General features: G+C 51.6%; 1 protein-coding gene across 12 annotated transcripts in view, besides 3 other annotated features; it reads left to right on the forward strand.

The window, feature by feature from the left end:
• The window catches only part of AACS (acetoacetyl-CoA synthetase), a 77,882-nt gene that overhangs the window by 44,768 nt on the left and 7,325 nt on the right, over positions 1-25,789 (forward strand). For 4 of the 12 annotated variants that reach the window (NM_023928.5, NM_001319839.2, NM_001414675.1 and 1 more), the window contains 8 exons: positions 4,275-4,355; positions 8,439-8,563; positions 14,503-14,567; positions 14,700-14,822; positions 17,959-18,072; positions 19,133-19,258; positions 23,801-23,870; positions 24,592-24,650. In NM_023928.5, coding sequence (NP_076417.2) covers positions 4,275-4,355; positions 8,439-8,563; positions 14,503-14,567; positions 14,700-14,822; positions 17,959-18,072; positions 19,133-19,258; positions 23,801-23,870; positions 24,592-24,650 — 763 coding nt within the window. Of the gene's footprint in view, positions 1-4,274; positions 4,356-8,438; positions 8,898-14,502; positions 14,568-14,699; positions 14,823-17,958; positions 18,073-19,132; positions 19,259-23,800; positions 23,871-24,591; positions 24,654-25,789 lie in introns of those variants that run through there. The other 8 variants (NM_001319840.2, NM_001414676.1, NR_183032.1 and 5 more) reach the window with 7 other exon arrangements.
• Positions 4,314-4,533: an enhancer, noted in NCBI's record as "active region_7321". NCBI's record gives its function as "activates an Ori minimal core promoter by ATAC-STARR-seq in GM12878 lymphoblastoid cells {active_cell/tissue: GM12878}" and the evidence as "EXISTENCE:reporter gene assay evidence [ECO:0000049][PMID:35858748]".
• Positions 11,233-12,182: an enhancer, noted in NCBI's record as "H3K4me1 hESC enhancer chr12:125605981-125606930 (GRCh37/hg19 assembly coordinates)". NCBI's record gives its function as "activates a minimal SCP1, AML or CMV promoter by ChIP-STARR-seq in primed H9 embryonic stem cells {active_cell/tissue: H9 hESC(primed)}" and the evidence as "EXISTENCE:reporter gene assay evidence [ECO:0000049][PMID:30033119]".
• Positions 23,059-23,690: an enhancer, noted in NCBI's record as "H3K27ac-H3K4me1 hESC enhancer chr12:125617807-125618438 (GRCh37/hg19 assembly coordinates)". NCBI's record gives its function as "activates a minimal SCP1, AML or CMV promoter by ChIP-STARR-seq in naive H9 embryonic stem cells {active_cell/tissue: H9 hESC(naive)}" and the evidence as "EXISTENCE:reporter gene assay evidence [ECO:0000049][PMID:30033119]".

Raw genomic sequence — 25,789 nt, forward strand, 5'->3', positions numbered from 1 at the left:
GTGTGTGTGTGTGTGTGTGTGTGTGTGTGTGTGTGTGTGTGTGTGTGTTTAGTAGAGACGGGGTTTCACTATGTTGGCCAGGCTGGTCTCCAACTCCTGACCTCGTGATCCACCTTCCTTGGCCTCCCAAAGTGCTGGGATTACAGGCCTGAGCCGTCACGCCCAGCTGAATGTAGTGCTTTTCTAATAACTGCTATCACATCTTACTTCCTCTGATCCTCTTCTGCCCCTGGGCTTCCTGACTCGGTTGAATCCTTACCTTGCACTCAGACTTCTCCTGGGCCGGTCTGTGGGAGTCAGGATGCTTGCGACGCCGTGGCTCCCACCCTCACGCTGCTCTAGGCTCTCCTCTGGGCCAGCTCTTCAGCTCTCCCCATAGCTCATTTCCCCATTTCCCTATCAGTTGGCTCAGCCTATAGGGAGGAGAAAAATCCACTGTATCTTGGTCAAACCTTCTGATCACCACTTTTTCCCCCAAACTCAGAAGAAGAGAATTCTCCAAGTGGAGAAACCTTTGCTTGATAAGACAGTGGCATTTGAAAAGGAAATATACAAGTTCCCTTATTCTAGCTCACTTAGCTTTTATAGACGTTCCCTCTACCTAGAAGCAGTTTGAATCCCTTCCATAAAAAGGAAATATTTACATTGGAATCATTTGAAAGCCCTATTAGGCTTTTTACAGAGTATTTTCATCAGAATGTGGAAAGGAGCCAATGTGGTTTCATCATCACCTAGATCTAGATTCACTGAAGGTCTTGTTGCAGGCTGTGAAATAGATTGAAGGTCCAAGAGCCTGTCCACGCACAGCAGGTTAATTCTCAAGAAACCCAGGGGTGGGAGCGAGGGGCTGAGGTCAGGGGTGGGGGGCAAAGGCCTTATTTCTAGCAGTTACACTGGCTCAACGGAGTTGCCTCTTTGCAGGCAGCGAGCTGTCCTGTCGCTCAAATCGTCTGATTTTATGAAAGCCAGTCGGGGTGTGTTCACAGACTAAGGTGTAGTTGGAATCGCGTTTTCCCTGTGAAAGGGCAGCCCTGTTGCACCTGGGTGCAGGTCTGTGAGTGAGCCACCGAGATGAGCATTTTTAGAAATCTTGCAGACAAGGGTCGGGGCGGGGGCGGGTGTATGTGGCCAAACAAGACATTTTAGGAAAAATGGAAATGTATAACTGTACTTTTATTTTTAGTGCTCTTTGCATAGTGCATGTCATTTTTTTAAGAGGAGCATAAAAATGTATTAGATATAATATAGCTTGCTCATAAAATGATCATGCCTGGTATATTTAGAGTGTGGAAAAATCAGGAAAAATTATATGTACTCCATCTTCACTGGGCTCTTGCATCTCTGGAGAAGTGACTAAGCATCTTGCTCGTTCTCTAGAGTTATCTTGACTACAAACTTGAAAACAGTGAGGCAACATAGGCCAGAGTCCTAGGGCTGCTCGTAATCTTCCCAATTGAGTAGGGTGGGGTTCTGTTACTGGTTTGTTGGTTTGTGCTTCCTAAGTCTGTGAAAGGTGTCAGAAAGTGGCTCCCCTTTCTCTTCCTTTACATGAAATTACTCTCCTGCGCTGAGACCCAGGAAACTGTTTATGCTGCCTTACCCTCAGGGAAAGCATTCAGACTTGACCATAAATATTTAAGAATTAAGGGAAAAACGATGGATGTAACTTGTTAAGAGTCACACAGAGAAATTCTTGAGAGAGGAGGAGGGCCCATCATTTGTTTTGTGCCATCTGAGAGAATGAGGCTAATGAACCACTGAACGAAGGTGGGCTCCTATCTCTGCTGTGCTCTCAGCAGACCACGTGAGCGAAGCTGTAGAGTTAAGTGCTGATTTTAAGTGAAAAAGAAAGTGGGAGAGGGATTTGCCACAGGCTCCTAGAATCCGAGTTCCCTGTCCTTTAAGTGGATTCGTGGAAAGATTTAGTTCATGGAGACAGTTCCTGAAAAGTTTGTCACCCCCAAATTATTGCCTACCCACTGTGCAGGAGAACAGATTGTCATGTAACTTTCTAAGAAGCTTTTGAGTGCCTGGGGAAGGGAAGGGAAGGGGAGGCTGTCTCTTGACCCTGACTGGGGATTCTTGTTAAACTCCACCCTGCAGCTCAGCTTCCAGAGCCCGGAGGCAGCCTTGGGGGACTGCAGAAAAGGGCAGTGTATTAGTCTGTTTTCATGCTGCTGATAAAGACATACTGAGGGCTGGGTGTGGTGGCTCATGCTTGTAATCCCAGCATTTTGGGAGGCCAAGGTGGGCAGATCACAAGGTAAAGAGATCGAGACCAGCCTGGCCAACATGGTGAAACCCTGTCTCTCCTGAAACTAAAAAAAATTAGCTGGGCATGGTGGTGTGTGCCTGTAGTCCCAGCTACTTGGGAGGCTGAGGCAGGAGAATCACTTGAACCCAGGAGGTGGAGGTTGCAGTGAGCCGAGATCACACCACTGCGCTCCAGCCTGGTGACAGAGCGAGACTCTGTCTCAAAAAAAAAAAAAGACATACTGAGACTGGGCAATTTATAAGAGAAAGGTTTAATGGACTTAACAGTTCTACGTGGCTGGGGAGGCCTCACAATCATGGCAGAAGGCAAGGAGGAGCAAGTCACATCTTACATGGATGGCAGCAGGCAAAGAGAGAGAATGAGAACCAAATGAAATGGGCTTCCCCTTATCAAACCATCAGATCGCATGAGACTTATTTGCTACCATGAGAATAGTATGGGAGAAACTGCCCCCGTGAGTCAATTATCTCCCACCTTGTCCCTCCCACAACATGTGGGAATTATGGGAATACAATTCAAGATGAGATTTGGATGCAGACTTGGAGCCAAACCATATCAGGCAGCGTCTGCCTGTCTGCCTGGCAGTCTCTGGAAGCTTCAGTTGCTGCTGTTTGTGGGCTGGGTGGCGGTTGCCTGTTTGGGATGGACTCCGGAATAGGAGTTTTGGCTCCTGAATGGGAGCCTGTGTTGGATAGGATTGTTCCTGGTGAGCTCTTAAAGGGATCATCTCCTGCAACTGGCTTTTGGAAGCTTTTCCCTTGGGTATAATGAGGGCCTTCATGGCTGGGTTTTAATATATAAGTCCTTGCTTCAGCCTTCTAGGCCCTCCACAACCAGGAGCACCTTTGTGATGAGCCAGAGGCTCACATCTGTGGACCAGACTGAAGGGCAGTGGTCACTGAAGGGGCAGCATCCCCGTCTGTCCTCAGGATCTTGTACGAGATCCGTTGGAAAGACAGGAAAACCGAGGCTGGGAGCGTGGAGTGACGGGTGCAGGGGCCACTGGCTCTGCTCTCTGGGTTGTGCCTGGCGATGGGAAGCTTCCTCTCCTCCCTGCCCCTGCCAGACACACAGAGTTGCTTGGAACAAGTGTGTTCTGGGCAGTGGAAGATTATATAGTTGTAAACAGACATGAGGGAGCTCCCGGCATGCCAAGGAAGAGCTCCCAGGTGTGCTGTTAGGTGGAAAAGGCAAAGTGCGGGACACTGTGTCACAATGAACAAAATGGCATTAATAAATATGTGCCGGCATCAGCAAGAAAGACGTTCACAGGAAACTGCTAGGACCGGCTGCCTCTTGGGAGAACTGGGTACAGGACAGGGAGAGAGGACGGCTTTTCATAGTATCTGCTTCAGAGTTCTGGACCGTGCAAATACATTGCCTATTAAGCACCAAAATTAAAAGGTAATAGGGCATAGTGGGTGGGAGGGAGCGGTTCTGCTTGGGTGTTTTAGCCAGAAGCAGGGTCTTGTGCTGTCCCCTCAGCTGAGGCATTCCTGAAATCCGATCTTGAACGTGAGTCCCAGCTACAGTCTTGCTCTGTTGCCAGTGCCCCACCCCCACCACATCCCCCTCACCCCGCTGTTCCCTGTCCCTCATGAGGCTGGGCTAGCACCCGTCCTGGAAGGGTTAGGCCCTGGTCTTTTGCTCGTTGACTCTCTTCTCAGGAAGGGTCACTTCTCTTCTGCCTGAAGCTGGTGGGCCTCCGTGGTGCCCTTGATGTCCTGGGCACCGAGAGCTTGAGGGCAGACAGGAGTGTCAGGGTTTTCCTCTCCAGACTACAAGCCACGCTCAGCTCTTGGGGGAGAGGGACATGGGGGCATGGCTCATCACAGGGGAGTGGGGGGAACCCTCCAAAGTCTGCTTCTCCCAGGAAAGAAAATGGGGATCTGCTGGGGCTTCTTCCTGGCAGCGTCTGAGCAGCGCGTGGGCCAGGTACCAGATTCCTGGTACTGTATGCCTAACAGAGAGCACCCGCTCCCCCGTGTCTCCCCTGCAGGGCACCCTCATCCAGCATCTGAAGGAGCACCTGCTGCACGGCAACATGACCAGCAGTGACATCCTCCTGTGCTACACCACGGTAAGGGCTTCCCCAGGTGCTGGCCTGTGCTATACCACAATAGGGGCTTCCCTGGGTGCCAGCCCATGACACATAGTAAGGACTTCCCCAGGCGCCGGCCCGTGGCACATGGTAAGGGCTTCCCCAGGTGCTGGCCTGTGCTATACCACAATAGGGGCTTCCCTGGGTGCCAGCCCATGACACATGGTAAGGGCTTCCCCAGGCGCCGGCCCGTGGCACATGTTAAGGGCTTCCCCAGGCGCCGGCCCGTGGCACATGGTAAGGGCTTCCCCGGGCGCCGGCCCGTGGCACATGGTAAGGGCTTCCCCGGGCGCCGGCCCGTGGCACATGGTAAGGGCTTCCCCGGGCGCTGGCCCGTGACACATGGTAAGGGCTTCCCCGGGCGCCGGCCTGTGCTGCGCCGTGGTAGGGGCTTCTCTGGGGCGCTGCCTGTGCTGCACTGTGGTGAGGGCTTCCCCAGCGCACGGTGTCGAGTTGGGCCCGCTCCTCCGCCCACCCTGCCTCAGCAGCGTGGAATCCACGCCATGAAACCATAACTCAACTCAAGGTGTTGGAGGCCTTCCTGCCCTTGTTGAGCACTGAAAGACAGAAGGTTAGGACATGTTAAAGGAAGTGTATTTTACCCCAGAGGAGGAGAACTCAAAACATCAAGAGCTTCCACAGTGATCTAGCTACAGGTCCTAGGTGATGCTTCTGTGCTGAGTTTTTTTTTTTTTTTTTTGCGATGAAGTCTAGCTGTGTCGCCCAGGCTGGAGTGCAGTGACTGGATCTTGGCTCACTGCAACCTCCACCTCTTGGGTTCAAGCGATTCTTCTGCCTCAGCCTCCTGAGTAGCTGGGACTACAGGCGTGCACCACCACGCCCAGCTAATTTTTTGTATTTTTAGTAGAGATGGGGTTTCACCATGTTGAGCAGGCTGGTCTTGAACTCCTGACCTTGTGGTCCGCCCGCCTCAGCCTCCCAAAGTGCTGGGATTACAGGCGTGAGCCACCGCCCCTGGCCTGCTGAGTCTTTATGCCAAGTGGAATGCAGCAGGCACATGCCTGACCTGTGAGGTCAATGCCCAGGGCCCTTCTGTGCCCCTTATGAGAGACTCCCCACAGATGCAGGAGGGAGGACAACCCCCCCACCCCAGTGACCTCACACAGGTGCAGGAGAGTATCAGACCCCCCACCCATGACCTCACACAGGTGCAGGAGACTGTCAGACCCCTGGGACTGCACACAGATGTAGGAGTGGGGACAGACCCCTGGGACTGCACACAGATGGAGGACGGGGGACAGACCCCTGGGATTACACAGAGATGCAGAAAGGGTCAGACCCCTGAGACCTCACACATACACCCGTGCAGGGGACAGACCCCTGGGATCTCACACAGGCTCAAGAGTGGTGACCTTGGGTGTGTTTTTGATGTGTGACTGTGGAGAGGCCCCTCCCTGCTCTCTGTGACCAGCTGTGAATTAATAAGGGGCTTGAGACAAATGATTCAGGTTTTTTTTTCTGCAGGGATTTGCTCTACAACCCACCCCTGTCCCCAATCCCTAACGTAGAATACCAGTGCCAGCCCCACCCCCACCATGGACCCTTGTGTGCTGGGTCCTTTCTGAAACATTTCAGGGCGGGAAGCCCGGGCAGCAGCATCAGTGCAGTGTCCTTACGGAGGTGCAGGAAGCTCCCAGCAGCTACGATGATGCAGGATTCGGCTGCCTCCCTGGGACACGGCAATTTAAAATGGGAGGGTCTTGTATTGAGAGGAAGGATACAATGGAAAGAACTCAAAAATTTGGAGCAGTTTTCTCAGAGGCATTTCATTTTTACTGGAAGGATCCTGTCCACTAAGAATCAGGCAGTTAGATTTTTCCTGGAGCAGCTTGACCCCACCTGTGTTCTTTTATTTTTATTTTATTTTATTGTTTTATTTTTTGAGACGGAGGCTCACTCTGTCACCCAGGCTGGAGTGCAGTGGCGCGATTTTGGCTCTCTGCAAGCTCCACCTCCCAGGTTCACGCCATTCTCCTGCCTCAGCCTCCCGAGTAGCTGGGACTACAGGCGCCCGCCCCCACGCCTGGCTAATTTTTTTTGTATTTTTAGTAGAGATGGGGTTTCACCGTGTTGGCCAGGATGGTCTCAATGTCCTGACCTCATGATCCGCCTGCCTCGGCCTCCCAAAGTGCTGGGATTACAGGCATGAGCCACCGCGCCCGGCCTCCCGACCTGGGTTCTAACAGCAGCCTTGGTGGCAGTTGTTTCATGTCCTGCAGCCCTGGGCCCAGGCTATACTGTGACCCACCCTCCCTCCCTTCCTTCCCCTTCCTTTCCCTCCCTTCCCCTCCCTACCTCTCCCTTCCTTTCCCGTTTTCCCTTTGCCTTTTGTCCTCCTTTTTCCCTTTGCCTTTCTTGTTTTCTTTTGACAGTCTCACTCTGTTGCTCAGGCTAGAGTGCAGTGGTGATCATGGCTCACTGCAGCCTCCAACTCTTGGGCTCAAGTAATCCTTCCACCTCAGCCTCCAAGTAGCTGAGACCACAGGTGCACTCCACCATGCCTGGCTAATTAAAATAATTTTTTTTTGGAGTCCAGGCACGGTGGCTCACGCCTGTAATCCCAACACTTTGGGAGGATGAGGTAGGTGGATCACTTGAGGTCAGGAGTTTGGGACCAGCCTGGCCAACATGGAAAAACCCTGTCTCTACTAAAAATACAAAAAAGTTAGCCGGGTGTGGTGGTGGGCACCTGTAATCCCAGCTACTTGGGAGGCTGGGGTGAGAGGATCACTTGAACCCAGGAGGCAGAGGTTGCAGTGAGCCGAGATTGTGCCACTGCACTCCAGCCTAGGTGACACAGTGAGACTCCGTCTCAAAAAAAAAAAAAATGTTTCTCCATAGAGACCAGGTCTCACTGTGTTACCCAGGCTGGTCTCAACCTCTTGAGCTCAAGTGATCTTCCCACCTTGCCCTCCAAAATGCTAGGATGACAGGTGTGAGCCACCAGGCCTTGATTCAGCTTTTAGCAGCTTTGTTGGACAATGAGGTGGCCAGGAATGTTATGCTGCTTGGGGCTTCCAGGCACTGGTTTCCTCTTTGGGAACAGTTCCTCAATAAAAGAAATTGAACGAGTACATTAAGACCTGTTCAGAAAGCAGCTCAATGGCTAGGTGTGATGGCTTATGCCTGTAATACCAGCACTTTGTGAGGCTGAGGCAGGAGGATCCCTTGAGGCCAGGAGTTCAAGATTAGCCTGGACAACAAAGTGAGACCTCATCTACAAAAAATAAAAAAATTAGCTGGGCGTGGTGGCTCACATCTGTGGTCCCAGCTACATGGGAGGCTGAGGCAGGAGGATTACTTGAGGTTAGGAGGTCGAGGCTGCAGTGAGCTCTGATTGTGCCACGGCACTCCAGCCTGCGTGACAGAGTGAGACCTTGTTTCAGGGGAAAAAAAAAAAAAGAAGAAAGCACCTCAACTAAATGGAGACCTTTGGCTGTGTCCTTGTGCCCTCTGCCTTTGTGCGTGGGGAGTAGGTGTGGGTGGGCCCTCCAGGGGACGCTGGTTTTGGGTCACTGTAGCCCGCATGATTTGGGGATGGCACTAGGCTGTGGCGGGCGGGAGGCAGGTTCCCGACACCATTCATCATGGATGAACAATGTCTTGGGGTGGTTCCGTGTCAGTCCAGACCTCATTCTGTTTCATGACTGTGCAATGGCTGCTGTCATACTGCTGGGGGTCAGGTGCTGTTCAGAACGCCTCATGTGGGTTCAGTGACTGTGTAGGAGTGTCAGTAGCAAGTGTGCACCTCCTGTGGCCTTGCTTGTGTCGATAACACCTACATTGCTTTGTCTCTGTCACCAGCAAGGGTGCAACAGACATTCTGTGACACATCTTCATGCACATGTGTGAATATGTCTGTGTGATCCATTCTTAGATGTGGAGTTGCCGGGCCAGAGTGTCCTGCATTTGAAATGGGAAGTTAGCACCAACCTGTGGCTCCATCTTAGGTGGTTTCCCAGGGACACAGGAAGCTGAGGGGGCAGCGCTGGGGGGAGCTGCCTAGCGCCCGCTGAAGCCGCATCCCTCCTGTCTTTGCAGGTCGGCTGGATGATGTGGAACTGGATGGTGTCCCTTCTGGCCACAGGAGCGGCCATGGTCTTGTACGATGGCTCCCCCCTGGTGCCCACGCCCAATGTGCTCTGGGACCTGGTTGACAGGATAGGGTAGGTACCAAGATGCTGTGCTCAAAGCAAGGGACAGGCAGCACCAGGAAGGCTCCTTGGGATCAGATGCAGAGCTGTGCCTGCCTTCTACCGTGGTCGGGGCGTCTCCAGCATGCTCTGCCTTTGTGGACGCCCCCTCTCCAAGAGGAGGGCATGGGAGGTGCCAGAAGCAGAAGGTGAAACTGTTAGGAAGGGAGGGACACCAAGGGCCAGGGCTCTTCCCTCCAGAGTGAGGGCTGAGAAAAATCCTACGGGCAGTGTGCAATCTCATTTCTTTTAAGAATCTATTTCTATTTTGAAGGTTATTTTTTAGTAAAAATGGTATGTATCGTAAGGCACGCGGCATGGTATTTTGCTGTGTATACGTATAGTGAAATGAGTACTGCAGTCAGGCAGATTCGCATTTGCATCTCCTCACACAGTTACCTGTTTGTTTTTAGCAAGGAGAGCACCTGAAATGGACTCTCTTAGCAAAGTTCCAGCACTTATTGCATAGTACGGCGTTGTCAGCTGCAGTCATCATACTGTGCATTCATCTTATTTCTCTAGTTGTGGCATTTCCCAGCAAAAGGAGGAAAACCGAGGGTCGCCTAGAGTCCTGTTTCACACAGGTTCTGCAGATTCAGGAGTGAGATTGTATTCATCCATTTTCCTACTGCTATGAAGAAATGTCTAACAGTGGGTAATTTATAAAGAAAAAGAGGTTGAATGGACTCAGAGTTTCACATGACTGGGGAGGCCTCACAATCATGATGGAAAGTGAATGAGGAGCAAAGGCATGTCTTACATGGCAACAGGCAAGAGAGCGTGTGCAGGAGAACTGTCCTTTATAAAACCATCAGATCTTGTGAGACTTATTCACTATCGAGAGAACAACTCGGGAAAAACCTGCCTCCATGATTCAATTACCTCCCACTGGGTCCCTCGTACGACACATGGGGATTATAGGAGCTACAGTTAAAGATGAGATTTGGGTGGAGACAGCTAAAACATATCAGAGATGAAGTGAGGTGAAGGCTGAACGCACAGGGGAGGTATGTGGATAAGTTCATGAGGGGTGGGTGCAGAACCTGTGACTGGGGGGCTGCGTGGTGTTTGGATTTCCTGCCACCTTTCTCCTGAGCCCATTGGCAGGAGGAGAACCCTGTTTGTTCCTAGCCGTCCCTTGGGGCTGGCAGCCACCTGTCTTCTAGGGTCTTCCTCACCTCATCATAACTGCACTGAGTGCTTCCTGGGGCCCCTGGAGGTGGTCATTTATTTCCTGTGGCCCTGGCTGGATGGTAGACAGGAATCCCATGAGCACAGGCGAGAGCCAGTTGGGTACCCTTCTGGTGCCTGAGAATTATGCAAATGGGGATAGGTGTAGTGGTCCCTGCTCCCCCCCGACCCCAACTCCTTCTCATCATCATCATTAGAAAGGCCTCATGAGATCCAGTCTCGTCAGCACTTTGCTGATGAATTAATCACAACTGGCTGGCGTGTTCTGGCCACTGTGGTCTTGGTCACCCTTGGCCTAATGACAGTGTTTCCAGAGATAAGAATATAGAAGTTGCCAGAGCTCCAGGGGCCCAGAAACAACCATGCTCTGTCCTAATTACATCTGAATCTGTTCTTGGGGGAAACAGGAGCCACTCATGTTTTTAAATCCTTGGCCATTAAACATTTTAAATATAACTTGGCCTGGGTAATATTTAAATCCTGACATTTGGCTCACAATCTTAGTGAGGAAGGCTATTTCCTAATGAGATTGTTTCCAGCAAAAGGTTAATCAAATCCCTGGGAACTTCAGATGGCTTTAGAATCTTTACCCTTTTACCCTTAAGCCAGGCTCCAGGTGGAGGAACTTTTATTGGTGTGTCGGGGAGGCAGGCACTGGGTCGGGGGTTACTGGAGGAGGGGTGGAGAGGGAAATGTACATCAGTGAGGCCCGGTGCTAATGAGATCCAGGGATGAAGCATCCCAGGGAGACCGTGCTCTGTGTGTGCATGGGTGTGAGTCTGCGTGTGTGCACAAAAGTGTATGTGAAAGTGTGTGCGCGCGTGCATGGAGCGTGATCTTGTGAAAGGGAGCGTGGGAGTGCGTATGTGCATGAGTGTATGTGCACCTACATGTGTAAGTGCAAGTGAGTGCATGGATGTGTGTGCATGTATAGGTGTCGGGTGTGTGTGCATGTGCATGCAGCTGTGAGTGCTGTACATGTGGATGCATGTGTGCCTTGTGTATGTGTGCATGTACCTGTGTACACGCGTACATGTGCAAGTGTTCACAGCATGGTGGCTGGTTCCGTGCCGTAATCACGGGCCCTGGGTTGGCCAGAGCGCTGAGGCTGATTGAGGTGTGGTCGTGCTGTCGCAGGGCTCCCTCTGGATGTGGCCATCGCCCCGCCTGAGAGAGCCTCCTGCGCCGTTTGGCGAGGCAGGTGTGACTTGGCACCCTGGCAGGGGCTGCGGGTGAGGGGCTTTCGGAAGAATGCAGGCTTTAAACCACTACACTGGTCGCCACCAGCAGTGAGAGGGAGCGGGTGCTGGGCGGGGCAGGACACTTCAGCTCAGTTCTGTCCACCTCCTGGAAACTGAATGTTGTGTAACAGTTGAAAGCAGTCATGGCAAACCCTGTTTTGTGGCAAGAGGCATGCGGGGCAGGCACAGTCCTCGTGATGCTGTCTCAGTGCCTCTGATTAAAACCCACATCTGTTAGTAAATGAGGGGTGAGATCTCTGTTGATTACCAGCATGTCAGCTCTCAGCCTTATTGACACATTCGATCAAAGAGCATTTATTTTGTAGGCACAGACAAGATAATTTGAAAAGATGAATTTTCTTCTTCACAGGGGTGTGTTTCTGGGTTCTAGTGAGGGGACTATTCTGGACAGAATTAGGGCCAGGACCCCGGGGACTTTGTCCAGTTTGCTAGTAGTGGGGCAGGTGTGGACGTTGTCTGGGTTGCCCAGTTTTGCCCGTCTCTGAATGGGGCCATTGTCTAAGATGGTTCTAGAGGGCAGGGGCCTCGTGGGCGAGCAGGCTTGTCCTTCTAAGGAAGTGCATGGGTTGGGTAGCACTTTGTCGGGATCTGCACCCCGTGTGTGCTGGACTACGTGCTCTGAGCCAAGCTCCCTGGGGGGTCCTGGGGGCCACACAGCAGCGACCAGGGGCCAGCACGCTCTGTCCTCATGGGGCTGGCACTGGGAGGGGGAAGGTAAGGAAAAGACAGAGGCCAACCTCAGGCTCTGAGGAGTGCTGTCAGAGACCTGGGGTCAGGGAGTCCTCGAGAGTCCTCGAGAGGTCTTGGCATTTGGGCTGAGGCCGAAAGGTTCAGGAACTACTTTTGCAGGACTGGGGACGTGTACTTCAGGCAGAGGGAACCACGAGGAGATGGGCCTAAGATCCATGTGTTGTGGAAGCTGGGAGGGGCCTCCTGTGGACCGAGTGTGAAGGGCTGATGCGGGGCTGGGGGCAGGAGCAGGGGTCAGAGGGGCGGGGACTTTTGGAGCTGCTTGGAGGGTGAGTTTTTCCCCGAGTGGAATGGAACAGCAGTGGACACTGAATCAGGAGAACACTGATCTGGTTCATGTTATTAAAAGGGCAGTGTAGGCCAGGCGTGGTGGTTCACGCCTGTAATTCCAGCACTTTGGGAGGCTGAGGTGGGTGGATTACCATGTCAGGAGTTCGAGACCAGCCTGGCCAACATGGCGAAACCCCGTCTCTACTAAAAATACAAAAAATACAAAAATTAGCCAGGTGTGGTGGTGCAGGCCTGTAATCCCAGCTACTTGGGAGGCTGAGGCAGGAGGATCACTTGAACCCTGGAGGCAGATGTTGCAGTGAGCTGAGATCACCCCACTGTACTCCAGCCTGAGTGACACAGAGAGACTCCATCTCAAAAAAAAAAAAAAAAAAGGCAGTGTAGCGCCTGAGTGAAGAGAGCATTGCCAGGGCTGGGGTAGGGGCAGAAGCTGAGAGACTCAGGTTGCTGGAGCCCACAGGCGCAGTGGCGACCCTGGAGGGGCTGCCTGTGGGCTGATCCACACTTCCCTCCGAACAGGGCTCTGGGCAGTCTCGGGCACCGGGTCCCAACGGTTTAGGGACCTGAGACTGTCTCATGCTTTGGTGCAGCGACCCCTACAGTACTTGCTAGAAATAAGACGTGGCATGAGTGCCCGCAGGTGGGCTCCCGTGCTTCCAAGAGCTGAATGGTGTTGCATTTCCTAACCGTCTTACCTGCACCCTGGAGATAGATGGGGGACTTTGCCGTTTCTTCAGACAAGCAGGACTGTGACTCACAGGCCGGAGAGCATCACCTCTGAGTGCTGGCGGAGCTTCACCAAGATCAGGGTTTGCAGAGTCTTGCCTGCACTTAGACGCACTTTAGACCCACAGAGAGCCTTCGAGTTTTCTGGGGGTGGGCAGTGGGGGGATTGCACAAAACCCGTGTGTTGTTTGGGCGTGGCTGTTGATTGGAGAGCTTTGTACCTGTAGCTGGAGGTGGTCACTGCTGCTCAGGGCCGGGTGATCACCATTAGAGTCATGAGGTCTCCATCCTCTGTTAGTGATACTTGCAAAGGAAGTGACACCTTAGTCCTTGGCTATGATGTTGAAGTAGTTAATCAAACTCTGAGTTTATGAAAGAAGCATGGGGGATGGTGGGAGGAGCTAGTCTCCCTCCCCCAAAACTCCAGCCATCTCTAGGGTACAGTGGTGGCTTTGTTGGTGGCAGGGTGTGTCTGGGGAAGTAAGAGAACGAAGGTGTGGGAGGTGGAAGGACCATGGTAACCCGCCTCCTTGCGTGGAGGGAGACCCACCCTGCCATTGCCTTAGCCACGCCCAGCCCAGCCAGCCCTGAATTCCGGGATGTTCTGTGCCATGTTGCCTCGTGGCTTCAGACAGCGAATGCTATGACGGTCTTCCGTGGGATGAGTCTCTCCACCGAATGTGCAGGACTGAGGTTCTACTGCCCAGAGTGACCCAGAAGAGTCTGAATCTCACAGCCTCCTCTAGGCCCCGAAGAGAATAACGTTCTTTAGTTGGGCCGACTGAGTTTACATGTGAAGGGCCGCCTGGCTGGAGGAAAAGCTGAGGAAGGAAATAGCATATTAGACAGGGCTGCCCTTGAAAGCGCAGTGAGGTATATTCAGCAGCGTGTGTTGTTCTGTGAGCACAAATGCATAGAACGGTGGATTCTGAATGTTCAAGAAGAGCTGGACTTTTCTAAGTTTCATAAAAATGTGATCTTGTTTAAGAAAAGGGGATGGGTGGAGAGTTTCAAGTATGGCACATGTTTTCACAAATAAAGAATTCTCCCAGCACTTTGGGAGGCCAAAGCAGGAGGAGCACTTGAGCCCAGGAGTTCAAGACCAGCCTGGCAACATAGCAAGACCCTGTCTCTCAGCTGGGCATGGTGGCATACACCAGTAGCTCTAGCTACTTGGGAGGCTGAGGTGGGAAAATCACTTGGGCCCAGGAGTTGGAGACTGCAGTGAGCTGTGATTGCACGACTGCATTCCAGCTTGGGGCAACAGAAGGAGACCCTGTCTAAAATAATAATAATAATAATTCTGTAGCCTTCTCTTCATTGGTGAATGAATGTGTGAGGATAGAATTTGAGGGGACTTGATTTTTATGGCCTCCTTTGGTCCCCCAAGATACAATACTCTGCAGTTGGGAAGATAATGGGTTCGGGTGAGCGACTGTTTTATGTGACGCCTCGTGGTAAAGGGAGCTGGCCCTGCGTGCTGAAATCAGTGTAAAGAGCAGTCAGGTGCACCTGTGAGGAAGTCAGGTGCCGTGACTCAGACTCGAGTAAACATGAAGTATGAGTTCAACCCAGAAAACTGCTCTCTCTTGGGTTTTGCAAACTTGTCAGAAATAAATCACTAACTTTAGAAAGCTTTGGTGCAAGAGCCTTGAAGAGTTTCTGGTGTTTTCTTTCCCGCCTGCACCCTAGCATCACTGTCCTGGTAACTGGGGCCAAGTGGCTGTCAGTGCTGGAAGAGAAGGCCATGAAGCCGGGTGAGTGTGCCTCTTCAGTACTCATTCCCTGTACTGCCAATCAAGGAAATTAAATCCATCCTATTTCCTGCTTGCGAGTGAGGCTTCAGGCACTGGGTTTAGTTTTAATCTTTTGGTGACTCTGCACCCCAGTGGAAACCCACAGTCTCCAGATGCTCCACACGATCCTGTCCACTGGCTCCCCACTGAAAGCCCAGAGCTACGAGTATGTCTACAGGTGCATCAAGAGCAGCATCCTCCTGGGCTCCATCTCAGGTATGGCCCCGGTGGGGACAGTCCTTCCAGCCATCCCCGCCGGCCCCATAAGTATGCACACCTCTGCCCAGTGCTTGGATTCATCCCAAGGACACAGTCCGCTGGGCAGCCAATACGCACAGTCCCTTCTCATGATCTGAGGCAGTGATGTTCCACGAAGTCACTGTGAACACGGAACCCATACGGAACCCTTGCTCCTGGGGGAAATAGATTTATGTACACACACACACCTCTCACATCGATTATAGTCTTAAAATCCAAAACAATACATCTTGGTAGGTTCTACATTTTTTATCTTGCAAAAGAGAAAATGCAGTTCAGAAGCATTCAGTGACTTGCCCAAGGCTGCCCCACCGTCAGGTGCTAGAGCTGGGATGCCACGCCCGGGAAGACAGCACCCTGCCCCACCCTGCCCTGGGCTCCTGTGTGTGAGAGCAAGGCAGGGAGGCTGTGTCGCCTTGTGTGACCTCAGTGGGAATGTGCCTGGGTGACTTAGGGTTTTGACTGCTCTGCAATGTCTGAGAGTGACCACAAAAGCTCCAGAGTATGGATCTGGAGGTGTAACATACCTTTTAGTGAGTAGGCAAATTCCCCAAAATAGAATCTGCAAATAGTGAGAATCCACTGTATGGAAGGACAAATATTGCCACATTGTTTATATAAGTAAAAAATAGACACTACCTATATGCCCAGCAGAAGGAAATTGATTGAATAATTTAGGGTACAGTCTTAATTTATGCAGCCATTAGAAGTGCATGAAATACACTGATGGACATCGAAACATGGCCATTGGCCATGATGAGTGAAAAAATCAGATTGCAGAATTACAAGGTGCGGTCATTTTTGCAGGTGGAAAACAGGTATATATGGATGTGTACATGCACACTCATGTATGTATATATATGGGTGTATTATATGTGGATTCCAAGTGAATTTTTTTTTTTTTTTTTGAGGTAGAGTCTTGCTCTGTCACCCAGGCTGGAGTGCAGTGGGTGCGATCTCAGCTCACTGCAACCTCTACCTTCTGGGTTCAAGCAGTTCTTGTGCCTCAGCCTCCCAAGTGGCTGGGATCACAGGCATGTGCCACCACGCCCAGCTAATTTTTCTATATTTTTAGTAGAGATGAGATTTCACCGTGTTGGTCAGGCTGGTCTCGAGCTCCTGACCTCAGGTGATCCACCCACCTTGGCCTCCCGAAATGCTGGGATTACAGGTGTGAGCCACTGTGTCTGGCCCCCAAGTGCATTTTTTCTCATAACTTTTTTCTTAACATAAAGTTGTGCTTTAGAAAATGGTTCACGCACGTGGTAAAAAATTCAGTCCACAAAGGTGTCCTCATGGCTGCCGTCCCCCTTCCCCAAGGAAGCCGACGTCGTTCCCTTCAGAGATGTTCTGTGCATAGGTGAGCGTGTGTGCTTGAGTGTGTGTGAGTGTGTGTAAATGGGGCGAGAGCACCCCATTTTTACACAGATGTAGTTTAGGGTACACACCTCAATTCCCCTTCACATGACTTAAGAGTTGATTCCATTGCTGCCCATAGAAATCTTTGGGTCAGTTTTTTTTTTTTTTTTTAAAGACAGGGTTTTGCTCTGTTGCCCAGCCTGGAGTGCACACTGACACGATCATGGCTTACTGCAGCCTCCACCTCCCAGGCTCAAGTGATCCTCCCACCTCAGCCTCCTGAGTAGCTAGGACCACAGGTGCATGCCACCACGCTCAGTTATGTTTTTTTATTTTTTGTAGAGACGGGGTTCCACCATGTTGCCCAGGCTGTTCTTGAACTCCTAACCTCAAGTGATTCTCCCACCTTGGCCTCCCAAAATGATGGGATTACAGGCATGAGCCACCGTGCCTGGCCTGGGTCACTTTTATTTTATTTTTACATATTTGTAGTTCTGATTTTTCTCCTTGTGATTTAAAAACATACTCTCAAAGCACCTCTTTAAGAGGTGCTATTTATACAAAATTAGCTGGGCATGGTGGCACATGCCTGTAATCCCAGCTACTAGGGAGGCTGAGGCAGGAGAATCACTTGAACCTGGGAGGTGGAAGTTGCAGTGAGCTGAGATCGTGCCATTGCACTCCAGCCTGGGCAACAAGAGTGAAACTCCGTCTAAAAAAAAAAAGGTGCCATTTGCCCGAAGCCTGAGGCCGACCCCTCAGCCTTCCTCCCCACCGTTGGTTCCTCGGCCTGAGGTGGGGGGTCTGAGCCATTCCCACCAGCAGAGTGAGCAGCAGGAAGGAGGTCAGGAGCCCTGCTCAACCTTGATGGTGGCAGAAACGAACGTGACTCACTCATTTTCGTGGGACACATCAGTCAGTGACATGAAATGGCAGAGAAGACATCACATTTTATTCTCTGCCTGAAGGAAGAAATAAAATCACACTCCACAATCTTGCAGCTGGGAACTTTTTGTTTTGTTTGTTTGTTTGTTTTGACAGAATCTTGCTCTGTCGCCCAGGCTGGAGTGCAGTGGCACAATCTTGGCTCACTGCAACCTCCGCCTCCTGGGTTCAAGCGATTCTTGTGCCTCAGCCTCCTGAGTAGCTGGGATTACAGGCACATGCCACCACGCCTGGCTAATTTTTTTGTATTTTTAGTAGAGATGGGGTCTCACCATGTCACCTAGGCTTGTCTCGAACTCCTGAGCTCAGGCAATCTGCCCACCTTGGCCTCCCAAAGTGCTAGGATTATAGACGTCAGCCACCTCGCCCAGCCACATTTCTGTTTTTCCAACCATTAAGTCCACATAAACCATGGCACTCGAGCCTTCCCATGTGATGGGTCTGTCTAGGCAGTGCCTGCCAGGTATGTATCACAGGCAAAGCTTCCATTTTCTGCGATCCTGAGTCTTGAATTTCAGCATGACCACAGGAGGTCATTTACTTAGCGGATCCTCTGGCAGGAAGGCTCGGCTAAAACGTCAATCACCAGATGTGGGGGGTTCATTCTAATTTCCATATCACCTCTCCCACTGCTCCCTGAAGAGAAGCCCCACCTGTCTGGGATGTTGCAGTGTTTGTCTGGGAGAGTAGATATTTGTCCTCTTGGCACCTTCTCCTTTGTTGCTCACTAATTTAACACAATTTGTCTTGGGCTTCTAAATTTTGAGTCTCCCTTTGCCATTGCTTGCAGGAGGCACCGACATCATCTCCTGCTTCATGGGCCACAATTTTTCTCTTCCTGTGTATAAAGGGGAGATTCAGGCCCGGAACCTGGGCATGGCCGTGGAAGCGTGGAACGAGGAAGGTGATGGCTCCACCAACTGTTTCTTTCTGTGATTAGGCGTGAGTTGGGAGTGTGGGAGCGTTCGGATGTGTAACTTTGCTTGGACATAGTTCTCCAAAACAGCCCTCGGAGGGGAGGCCCCTGTCACTTGCAGTGTGATGTCCTTTCCCTCCAGCTTGGTTTAACACCCGCCGGGCTTCTGGTCCCTAGCCTCTGAGAGGTCAGGGTCGAGCTGGAGGACAGGTGGAGAGATGTGTGCTCGGGAACAGTGGGCAGGTGGGTGGTCATTGCCCTGCATCTGAACCCTGGTGCTGGATACACAGGCAGCAGCCAGCTCTGAGCTTCTGAGAACCTGGTCATTGAAGGGATAGTCTCCCGCTATGCTGGGCCTGGCAGCTAGAAATCCAGCTGTGCTAGGAGGGGTGAGCAGGGCTCAGTGCACCTGCTCTGCAGAGCAATGTGGGAGGAGTCAGTGAAGCTGAAGATGCATACGTGCCCTGTGATCTGGGAATGCCACTCCCAGAAGACTTACTTGTGATCCATGCAAGAATGTTTGTAGCGCCCCATGATTTGTAATGGAAAACAAAATTGGGAACAATAGAAATGTCCATCTTTGAGAGGAAGAAACTCTGTGATCACATGTGGAGAATGCCCAAGTGGTGAATACGAATGAACCAGAGTGAGACCTAGTAGCCCGAACGAGCCCAGATGTCATGCTGAGTGAGCACAGGAAGATGCGGGACACATAGAAGGACAGCGTGTATGTGTTCAAAGGCATGCAGAGTGACGACATATGCTATTCAAGGATGCGTGTGGATGGAGCAGAAATGTTAACACACATGGGAATAACAAATCACTACGTCCGAGACAGCGATTTTGGGGAGCACACAGGGAGGGGACTTCATCTGGGAGGAACGCATTATTAGGCTGCTGTGACAGGTGTGTGGGCGTGGACCATCTCTGTACCTTTGTATATGTCTGGAATATTGCATAATAAGTAATAGCTTAAGAAAGAGAGAGAGACAGCCAGGGTGTGTGGCTGTGGTGTGTGTTGGGCTTATTTTTAATTCTCCCATACCAGGAAAGGCGGTCTGGGGAGAGAGCGGCGAGCTGGTGTGTACTAAGCCGATCCCTTGCCAGCCCACACACTTCTGGAACGATGAGAACGGCAACAAGTACAGGAAGGCGTATTTCTCCAAATTCCCAGGTCGGTTGGAGAGATGCAGACAGAGCTGGCCAGCCTCTGCCTTGGCTGGGCCTTCTGTGTCTAATTCTGTACCATCGTGCCCCTCCCCTCTTCCTTCCCCCACCAGGGCTTGGAGAAGCTGCTTATAGTTCATTCCGCCAGTGGGGGGATAATGAATTTTTGATCAATATCTTGTTGTCTTCAGCTTGAAGCTATCGTGTGCAACTGCAATCTGGTTTAGTTGAATCTCAGCCACCTCTGCCCAGAGCCTCTTGGCCCCAGCCCCTGCTGCTGGGAGCTGGCACGAGCCTCTGGTTTGCATGTGGGAGGGTGGAGGGTGTGGGGCTGAAACAGGGTGATGCCTGCCTGTTCACGAGGAGTGGCATGTGGAAGTGGCGTCTGGCTCGGGTCTCTTCCTTCGTGTCTCTCACCATCATCCAGTCCTCATGGAGATGCTGGAGGAAGAGCGCTTTTGCGGTGGAAGCATTTACAACCCGACACGTCACTCTCACATAGACTGACACCCTTGGGTGTCGTCTTTTGAGTGGTGCCTTGCCCCAAAGCAGGGAAGTCTTTTATTTAAAGCTCTGATTCCTGCCTCCCTCTAATCTTATTTCATAAGCAGTCTCGAGTTACTGCTGCTATATAATTCATCGTTTAGCAAGCCTTCTGTTCCAGAGTTATTTATACTCAGTACTTGCTTTCTGCAGTCTCTCAAAAGGTAATCTGGTTTAGCACAGACCACGTATGGAGAATCAGAAAGCGGTAAGTGGTAGGATTTGCCAGGTATCCTTCCTGCCTTGCGTGTTTGCGTTTCACCGTTAAAGCCATTGTGCCTGGAATAGTGCCTTCCTGCAGCAGCGTGGGGCATCCCCCCAGGGGTGGCTCAGCCTCCACTGCATACCTGCTGCACCTATGCCCCACCTTGGCTCCTGCCGTGAGCAGCTGTGCAGACAGACGAATGCAGAAAAGCAAGAGTGGATGTAGAGAAACACTCATCAGATGACCCTGAAGAGGAGGGTAGGGCCTCCTGCCTTGGGAGGAGAGGCCAAAAGGATTAGAATCTCAGCTTGAGGATCCATCCAAGAAATGATGGCCCTTCATCTTCTGTAACATTGCTCTTTGAAAACTCTCTTTTCTGTCACTTTATTTGTCACATGTGCAAGGGTTCATGTGATAGATGTCTCTCAGGATTAATTTCAGAATAATCTTTTTTTGAAACTGATATTCCTTCTTGGAGAAGACAAGTACTTTGTGACGTGTTATATTTCCATTTTTGCCTTGGCTGCCAGGAAACTCAGAGCTGAAATAATTGCTTTGTTTTTGTAGTCCTCTTACCTTTAGGGTAAGATTTTGCTTCTCTTTGAATAATCCTGTCATGAAGTCAGTTTTAAAGGTAGCTTCCTCCAATACTTCCTGAGTGTAGGTGAGAGATATGAATAAATATGGAAAGACAAAGGCAGATCAGATAATGAGATCTGAAGCTGTTTATCATGGACAAGGTGAACATAGGCTGCACTTAGACCCTTCCTCAAGCACCAGCGCTGAGAGATTCTTGGGCTGTATAGGAAATGGCGTGATGGCAAAACCAAGCAACAAGAGCAAGCCTTCGTTTCCACAACTCGGAGTGGGTTTTTGGACGTCGTTACCTTAAAAAATGATGCCAGGTGAAAATGTAAACAGGCCGTGTGCTGGTATGGAAAGATACCCAGGATGTTAGTAAGTGAAAATGAGAGTTTAAGAACAGAGGACATAGCATCCCTTTGGTGTAAATTTTAAATTTTTATTTTAGAGACAAGGTCTCCGTCTGGCCCCAGGCTGGAGTGCAGTGGTGTGATCTCCATCCACTGCAGCCTTGATCTCCAGGGCTCAAAGGATCCTCCCGCCTCAGCCTCCTAAGTAGCTGGGACTACAGGTGTGTGCTACCATGCCTGGTTAATTTTTGTATTTTTTGTAGAGATGAGGTCCCTCTATGTTGACCAGGCTGGTCTCGAACTCTTGAGCTCAAGCAATCCTCCTGCCTCAGCCTCCTCAAGTGCCGGGATTACTAGCATGAGCCACCACACCCGGCCTTGTGTAAATTTTAAAAAGGAAGTACATATGTGTGATTGTGTGAATAAATGAATAATGAGTATGAATATGGGGTTATATGAGTGGTGGGATTATGAGCCCATTTTGGTTTTCTTTATGGCTTTTTATTTTTATTTTTTGACACGGTATCTCGCTCTGTTGCCCAGGCTGGGGTGCAGTGGCACGATCTCAGCTTCTCCTGCCTCAGCCTCCTGAGTAGCTGGGATTACAGGCGCGCGCCACCACGCCCAGCTAATTTTTGTATTTTTAGCGGAGACGGTGTTTCACCATGTTAGCCAGGCTGGTCTCAAACTCCTGATCTTGTGATCCACCCACCTCGGCCTCCCAAAGTGCTGGGATTACAGGCGTGAGCCACCAGGCCTGACCACTTTTTATTATTTTTAAAAACTTAAAATTTTAAAAGAAAGTAAAAGCAGACTTAAGATTTAGGTCATTGCAGATGCCACATTCCAAACAGGCCTGGTCTGCTATCGGCAGTCACCTGTTCCCACTGTATTTCCACTTTCGCCTCAGCTCCCAGGAGACTCGAAGCTTAAGTCAGTGCCTTGAAGAATGAGAATGATCTAAATCTGTTCAGTCTGCTGTAGAAAGGAAGACATCGTTTCTGCGGCTTCGTTTTGCCATCAGGCCACTTCCTCTGTGGTGCCCTGGAGCCAGCCACTAGTGGATTGCTCCTCTCAGCCTGGCTTTGCAAGGGATCAAAGTGTGTCGGGGAAGTTTTCACAAAAAACATTTCTTCAGAGTGGATTTACATCCTCCTTTTTCTCTGCATTTCCGGGGTCTCAGTAATTAGGGCACAGTACTGCAGATGGCCCAGAAAACCCAGAAATTTCTCGTCCGATTAAAGGGAGATCTGACTCCAGGCAAACAAGACTGTATGTTGTTGCTGGCACCGAAGTGCCAGAATGAGGCAGGATTCCCAGGTGAGCGGCACAGGCTTGCAGCTCTCATCTTCCAGGGCTGCCATTCATAGACTCAGTTTGCTGAGTAGCCATACAGGCGTGCTCCTGCAGAAGCTAGGCACATCCATTGCAAGCCTAGGAGTGGATTTTTTTTTTTCCTTATTTGTGTATGTGAATCTTTTAAAAGTCCAATGAGAAAAGAATTGGTTTCATTCTCTAGCTTGGGGAGGCGGGAGGAAAGACCTGAAGACCTGCAGTTCTCTTTTTTTGCATTGGAATAAGTAGCTTTGGGCTCATTTCATTCTCTTCAGCTGCCTCCCAGGGACCATGCACTCCTGTACACAGTCCCCTTGGCCTTCGTCCCCATAGAAGGCTTGGTGGTGGCTTGTGGCAGTGTCTGCTTCATGATGTCACATAAATGCGTGAGTAGACTAGGTAGCTGTTGAGTCATAAGCTGTTTGGGTTAGCTCTTGCCACAGAGTGGAGAAGTGCTGGAGAAGTGTCTCGAGATTTGGGAGGGAGGAGATGCCTTCTGAGGCTGCCGCCCGTCAGTGAAGACACAGAAGCTGGCTTCTTTACTGTTTTCCCTTCCCGGATCGCAGGAAATCTTCGGGGCGTTATTGCAGGAGGCCAGCCTGCTGCTGAGGCAGATGACTTCTGGCATTACAAAGCAGCAGAGATGCGCTTTTGATTACGGCCAGCCAGTTCCCCTCAGTGTGGCTGATCAAGGGCTGGTGGTGGTGTCAGCAGGAGGAGGCCCCCAGCTGGTTAACTGCTCCCTTGGTGACTCTCTCGGCTGTGTGGCTTCTCTTCACTGTTTGGCGCCTGGGTGGAGGATGTGGCCAAGGAACCTCTCTCCTTAGAGGCGGCATCCAAATCTGGGATTTGATCCCTTTGGTCCATCAGCTTCATGGTGCCACCCCAGCGTGCAGGCCTTCTCTGAACAGCTGCACATGAGGCCACTCACGTGGCCTGCTGACACTGTGTTGCTGTCATCCCTGGCTCTTTCCTCTTCCCCGTCTCCTCATCCCCTGGGTTTTACCTGCTAATCGGCTCTCTGTCCATGTGGCTAATGTTTTGGTTCAAGCCTACATGACTCGGACTGGTGCAGTAGCCTCCTTCCTGGTCACGAGCACGTGTATTCCATTCCAAGATCTGGCCCCAACCTCTGCACACCCTGTGCCCTCCACTGCCCCTGGCCACTCTTGCTTCCCAAGACATGGCTTATTCTTTCCTGTGCTACACTCAGGGTTGTCTCCAGACACTCCTGTTGACCCCCAGTGGCCTGGCCGAGCTTGGTCCTGCCCTCTGTGAATTCCCGGGTCCTTGCTGGTGCCTGAGGAGCTGCGTTCCTCCTCGCCGGCGGTGTCAGAGCTGCCCGGGCAGCAGCCCCGCTAGAGGGCATGTTCCTTGGGGCAGGAACTGTCTGGCTCCCTCTGGCCCCCAGCCCCATGCCAGACCTGCCTCTGGGCCCCAGTGATGTCTGCGGACCTACACCCAGCGTCTGTCCAGGCAGCCTGTCATGGCCCCTTCTCCTCGGGATGACCGGGCACCTCTGCTGTCTTTGCAGGTATCTGGGCTCATGGCGACTACTGCAGAATCAACCCCAAGACCGGGGGCATCGTCATGCTTGGCCGGAGGTAAGGGCTGCAGAGTCGGCTTCTCTTTCCTGGAGCCCCACCTTCCAGAGGCATGGGGGTGGGAGAGGAGGTGCTTTCTATAAAAGTCAGTGACCCCCTTCCTGGGCACCTCACTCCACTCCAGCACCAGGGTGTCCACACCACCCACACCTCTGCTGGTGTCTGGGACCCCCCAGCCCCCACCGGCTGGTGCGCCATGTTTCCCCACCCCTGTGCCTGTGCACACACCATCCCTGGGCCTGAAGACCCCCTCTGAGGAAGCATTGTCTGCTCAGTCTGCAACATGGCTGACTGTCCCTCATCTTGGACCCTTCCTGTGTCATTCCTGGGGTGGCGCATCCCTGTGCCAGCTTCCTTCCCGAGGGATGGGTCTGGGCGTGATCCAAGTCTCCCTGCCCTGTGATGGGGTTCTCGGGTAGGGAGTGTCAGGATGGGGGTTCCACAGCAAAGGCACAGCAGTGTCCACACCTGCAATGGGGGACACGTGTGCAGGTGGGAAGGCAGTGAGGTGACAGATGTTCCTGCCTCCCTCGATGGAAAGCTTTAACCTGAGAGGGAGAAAGAGCCGGGTGGTAGGGCAAGGAGCTGGGGAGCGGAGTGTCCGTGACTAGTCCTGGGGGATGCCATGGGAAAGTGGGGGGTGACTGCCCTCCCGTGGGACCCCTGGGACTTGCTTCACTCCAGAGCTGCGGTGTGGCCCTGACCTCTTCTCTCTTTCCAGTGACGGCACCCTCAACCCCAACGGGGTGCGGTTCGGCAGCTCGGAAATCTATAACATTGGTACGTGCTTCCCCTCCCTGAGCGTTCTCCAGTCTCCAGGAAGGAGGAGGGTCCTGGCGGGAGCCCCAGGAGCCCCACCTTTGGCACAACTCTGGCCCCTTGTTCTCTGGTGTGACAGTGGACATTTGTGAGCCTGACCTCCTTTCCAGAACATACCTTGCCCACACTGCCATCCTCATAAAACCTCAAATGGGGTCTTTAAGGTCCCTTTGCCCATCCTCTTCCTCATTATAGCTCATCCTCCCGGTGAGCTCTGCTGGGCTGGTTACTTGTGTCTATCTACTCTTTTTTTTTTTTTTGGAGACAGAGTCTCGCTGTGTCACCCAGGCTGGAGCGCGATCTTGGCTCACTGCAACCTCTGCCTCCTCAGTAGCTGGGATGATAGACATGCACCACCATGCCCAGCTAGTTTTTGTATTTTTAGTAGAGATGGGGTTTCACCGTGTTGGCCAGGCTGGTCTCGAACTCCTGACCTCAAGTGATCCGCCTGCCTCGGCCTCCCAAAGTGCTGGGATTACAGGCATGAGCCACCACGCCCGGCCAACTTGTGTCTACTCTTTATGGTTGAAGAAACCAGAAGCACAGAGAGGGTTCAGGATTGCTGAAGGTCACACAGCATCATGCAGGACACCAAGCACAGAGAGTGTAGGCCTGTGGATCTCACAACTGTACAGTGGAGTCACCTGTGGGCCTTCAAACTTCCCAGCCCAGGGACCCAGACCCAGCCCAGGCCGCAGAGTTGGTCAGATGGCCTCTTATGCTAGTGCTTAGGTCAGAGTCCTAAACTTATGTCAAGGTCGTTTGTGTGGCCAGGGTAGAGAAATCCCGATGTCTGATTCCAGCCTTTTTTCCTCACTCCAGTGGAGTCCCCACCACAGGCACCTGCTTTCTTTTTTAAAAAAATTTTTTTTTGAGACAGGGTCTTACTCTCTTCACAGGCTGGAGTGCAATAGTGTGATCTCAGCTCACTGCAACCTCCGCCTCCTGGGCTCAAGCAATCCTCTCACCTCAGCCTCCTGAGTAGCTGGGTCTACAGGCGTGCACCACCATGCCCAGCTAATTTTTGTATTTTTTGTAGAGATGAGGTTTTGCCATGTTGGCCAGGCTGGTCTCAAACTCCTGAGCTCAAGTAATCAACC

This window comes from Homo sapiens, chromosome 12 (genome assembly GCF_000001405.40).
Source record: "Homo sapiens chromosome 12, GRCh38.p14 Primary Assembly".
Taxonomy (NCBI): Eukaryota; Metazoa; Chordata; class Mammalia; order Primates; family Hominidae; genus Homo; species Homo sapiens.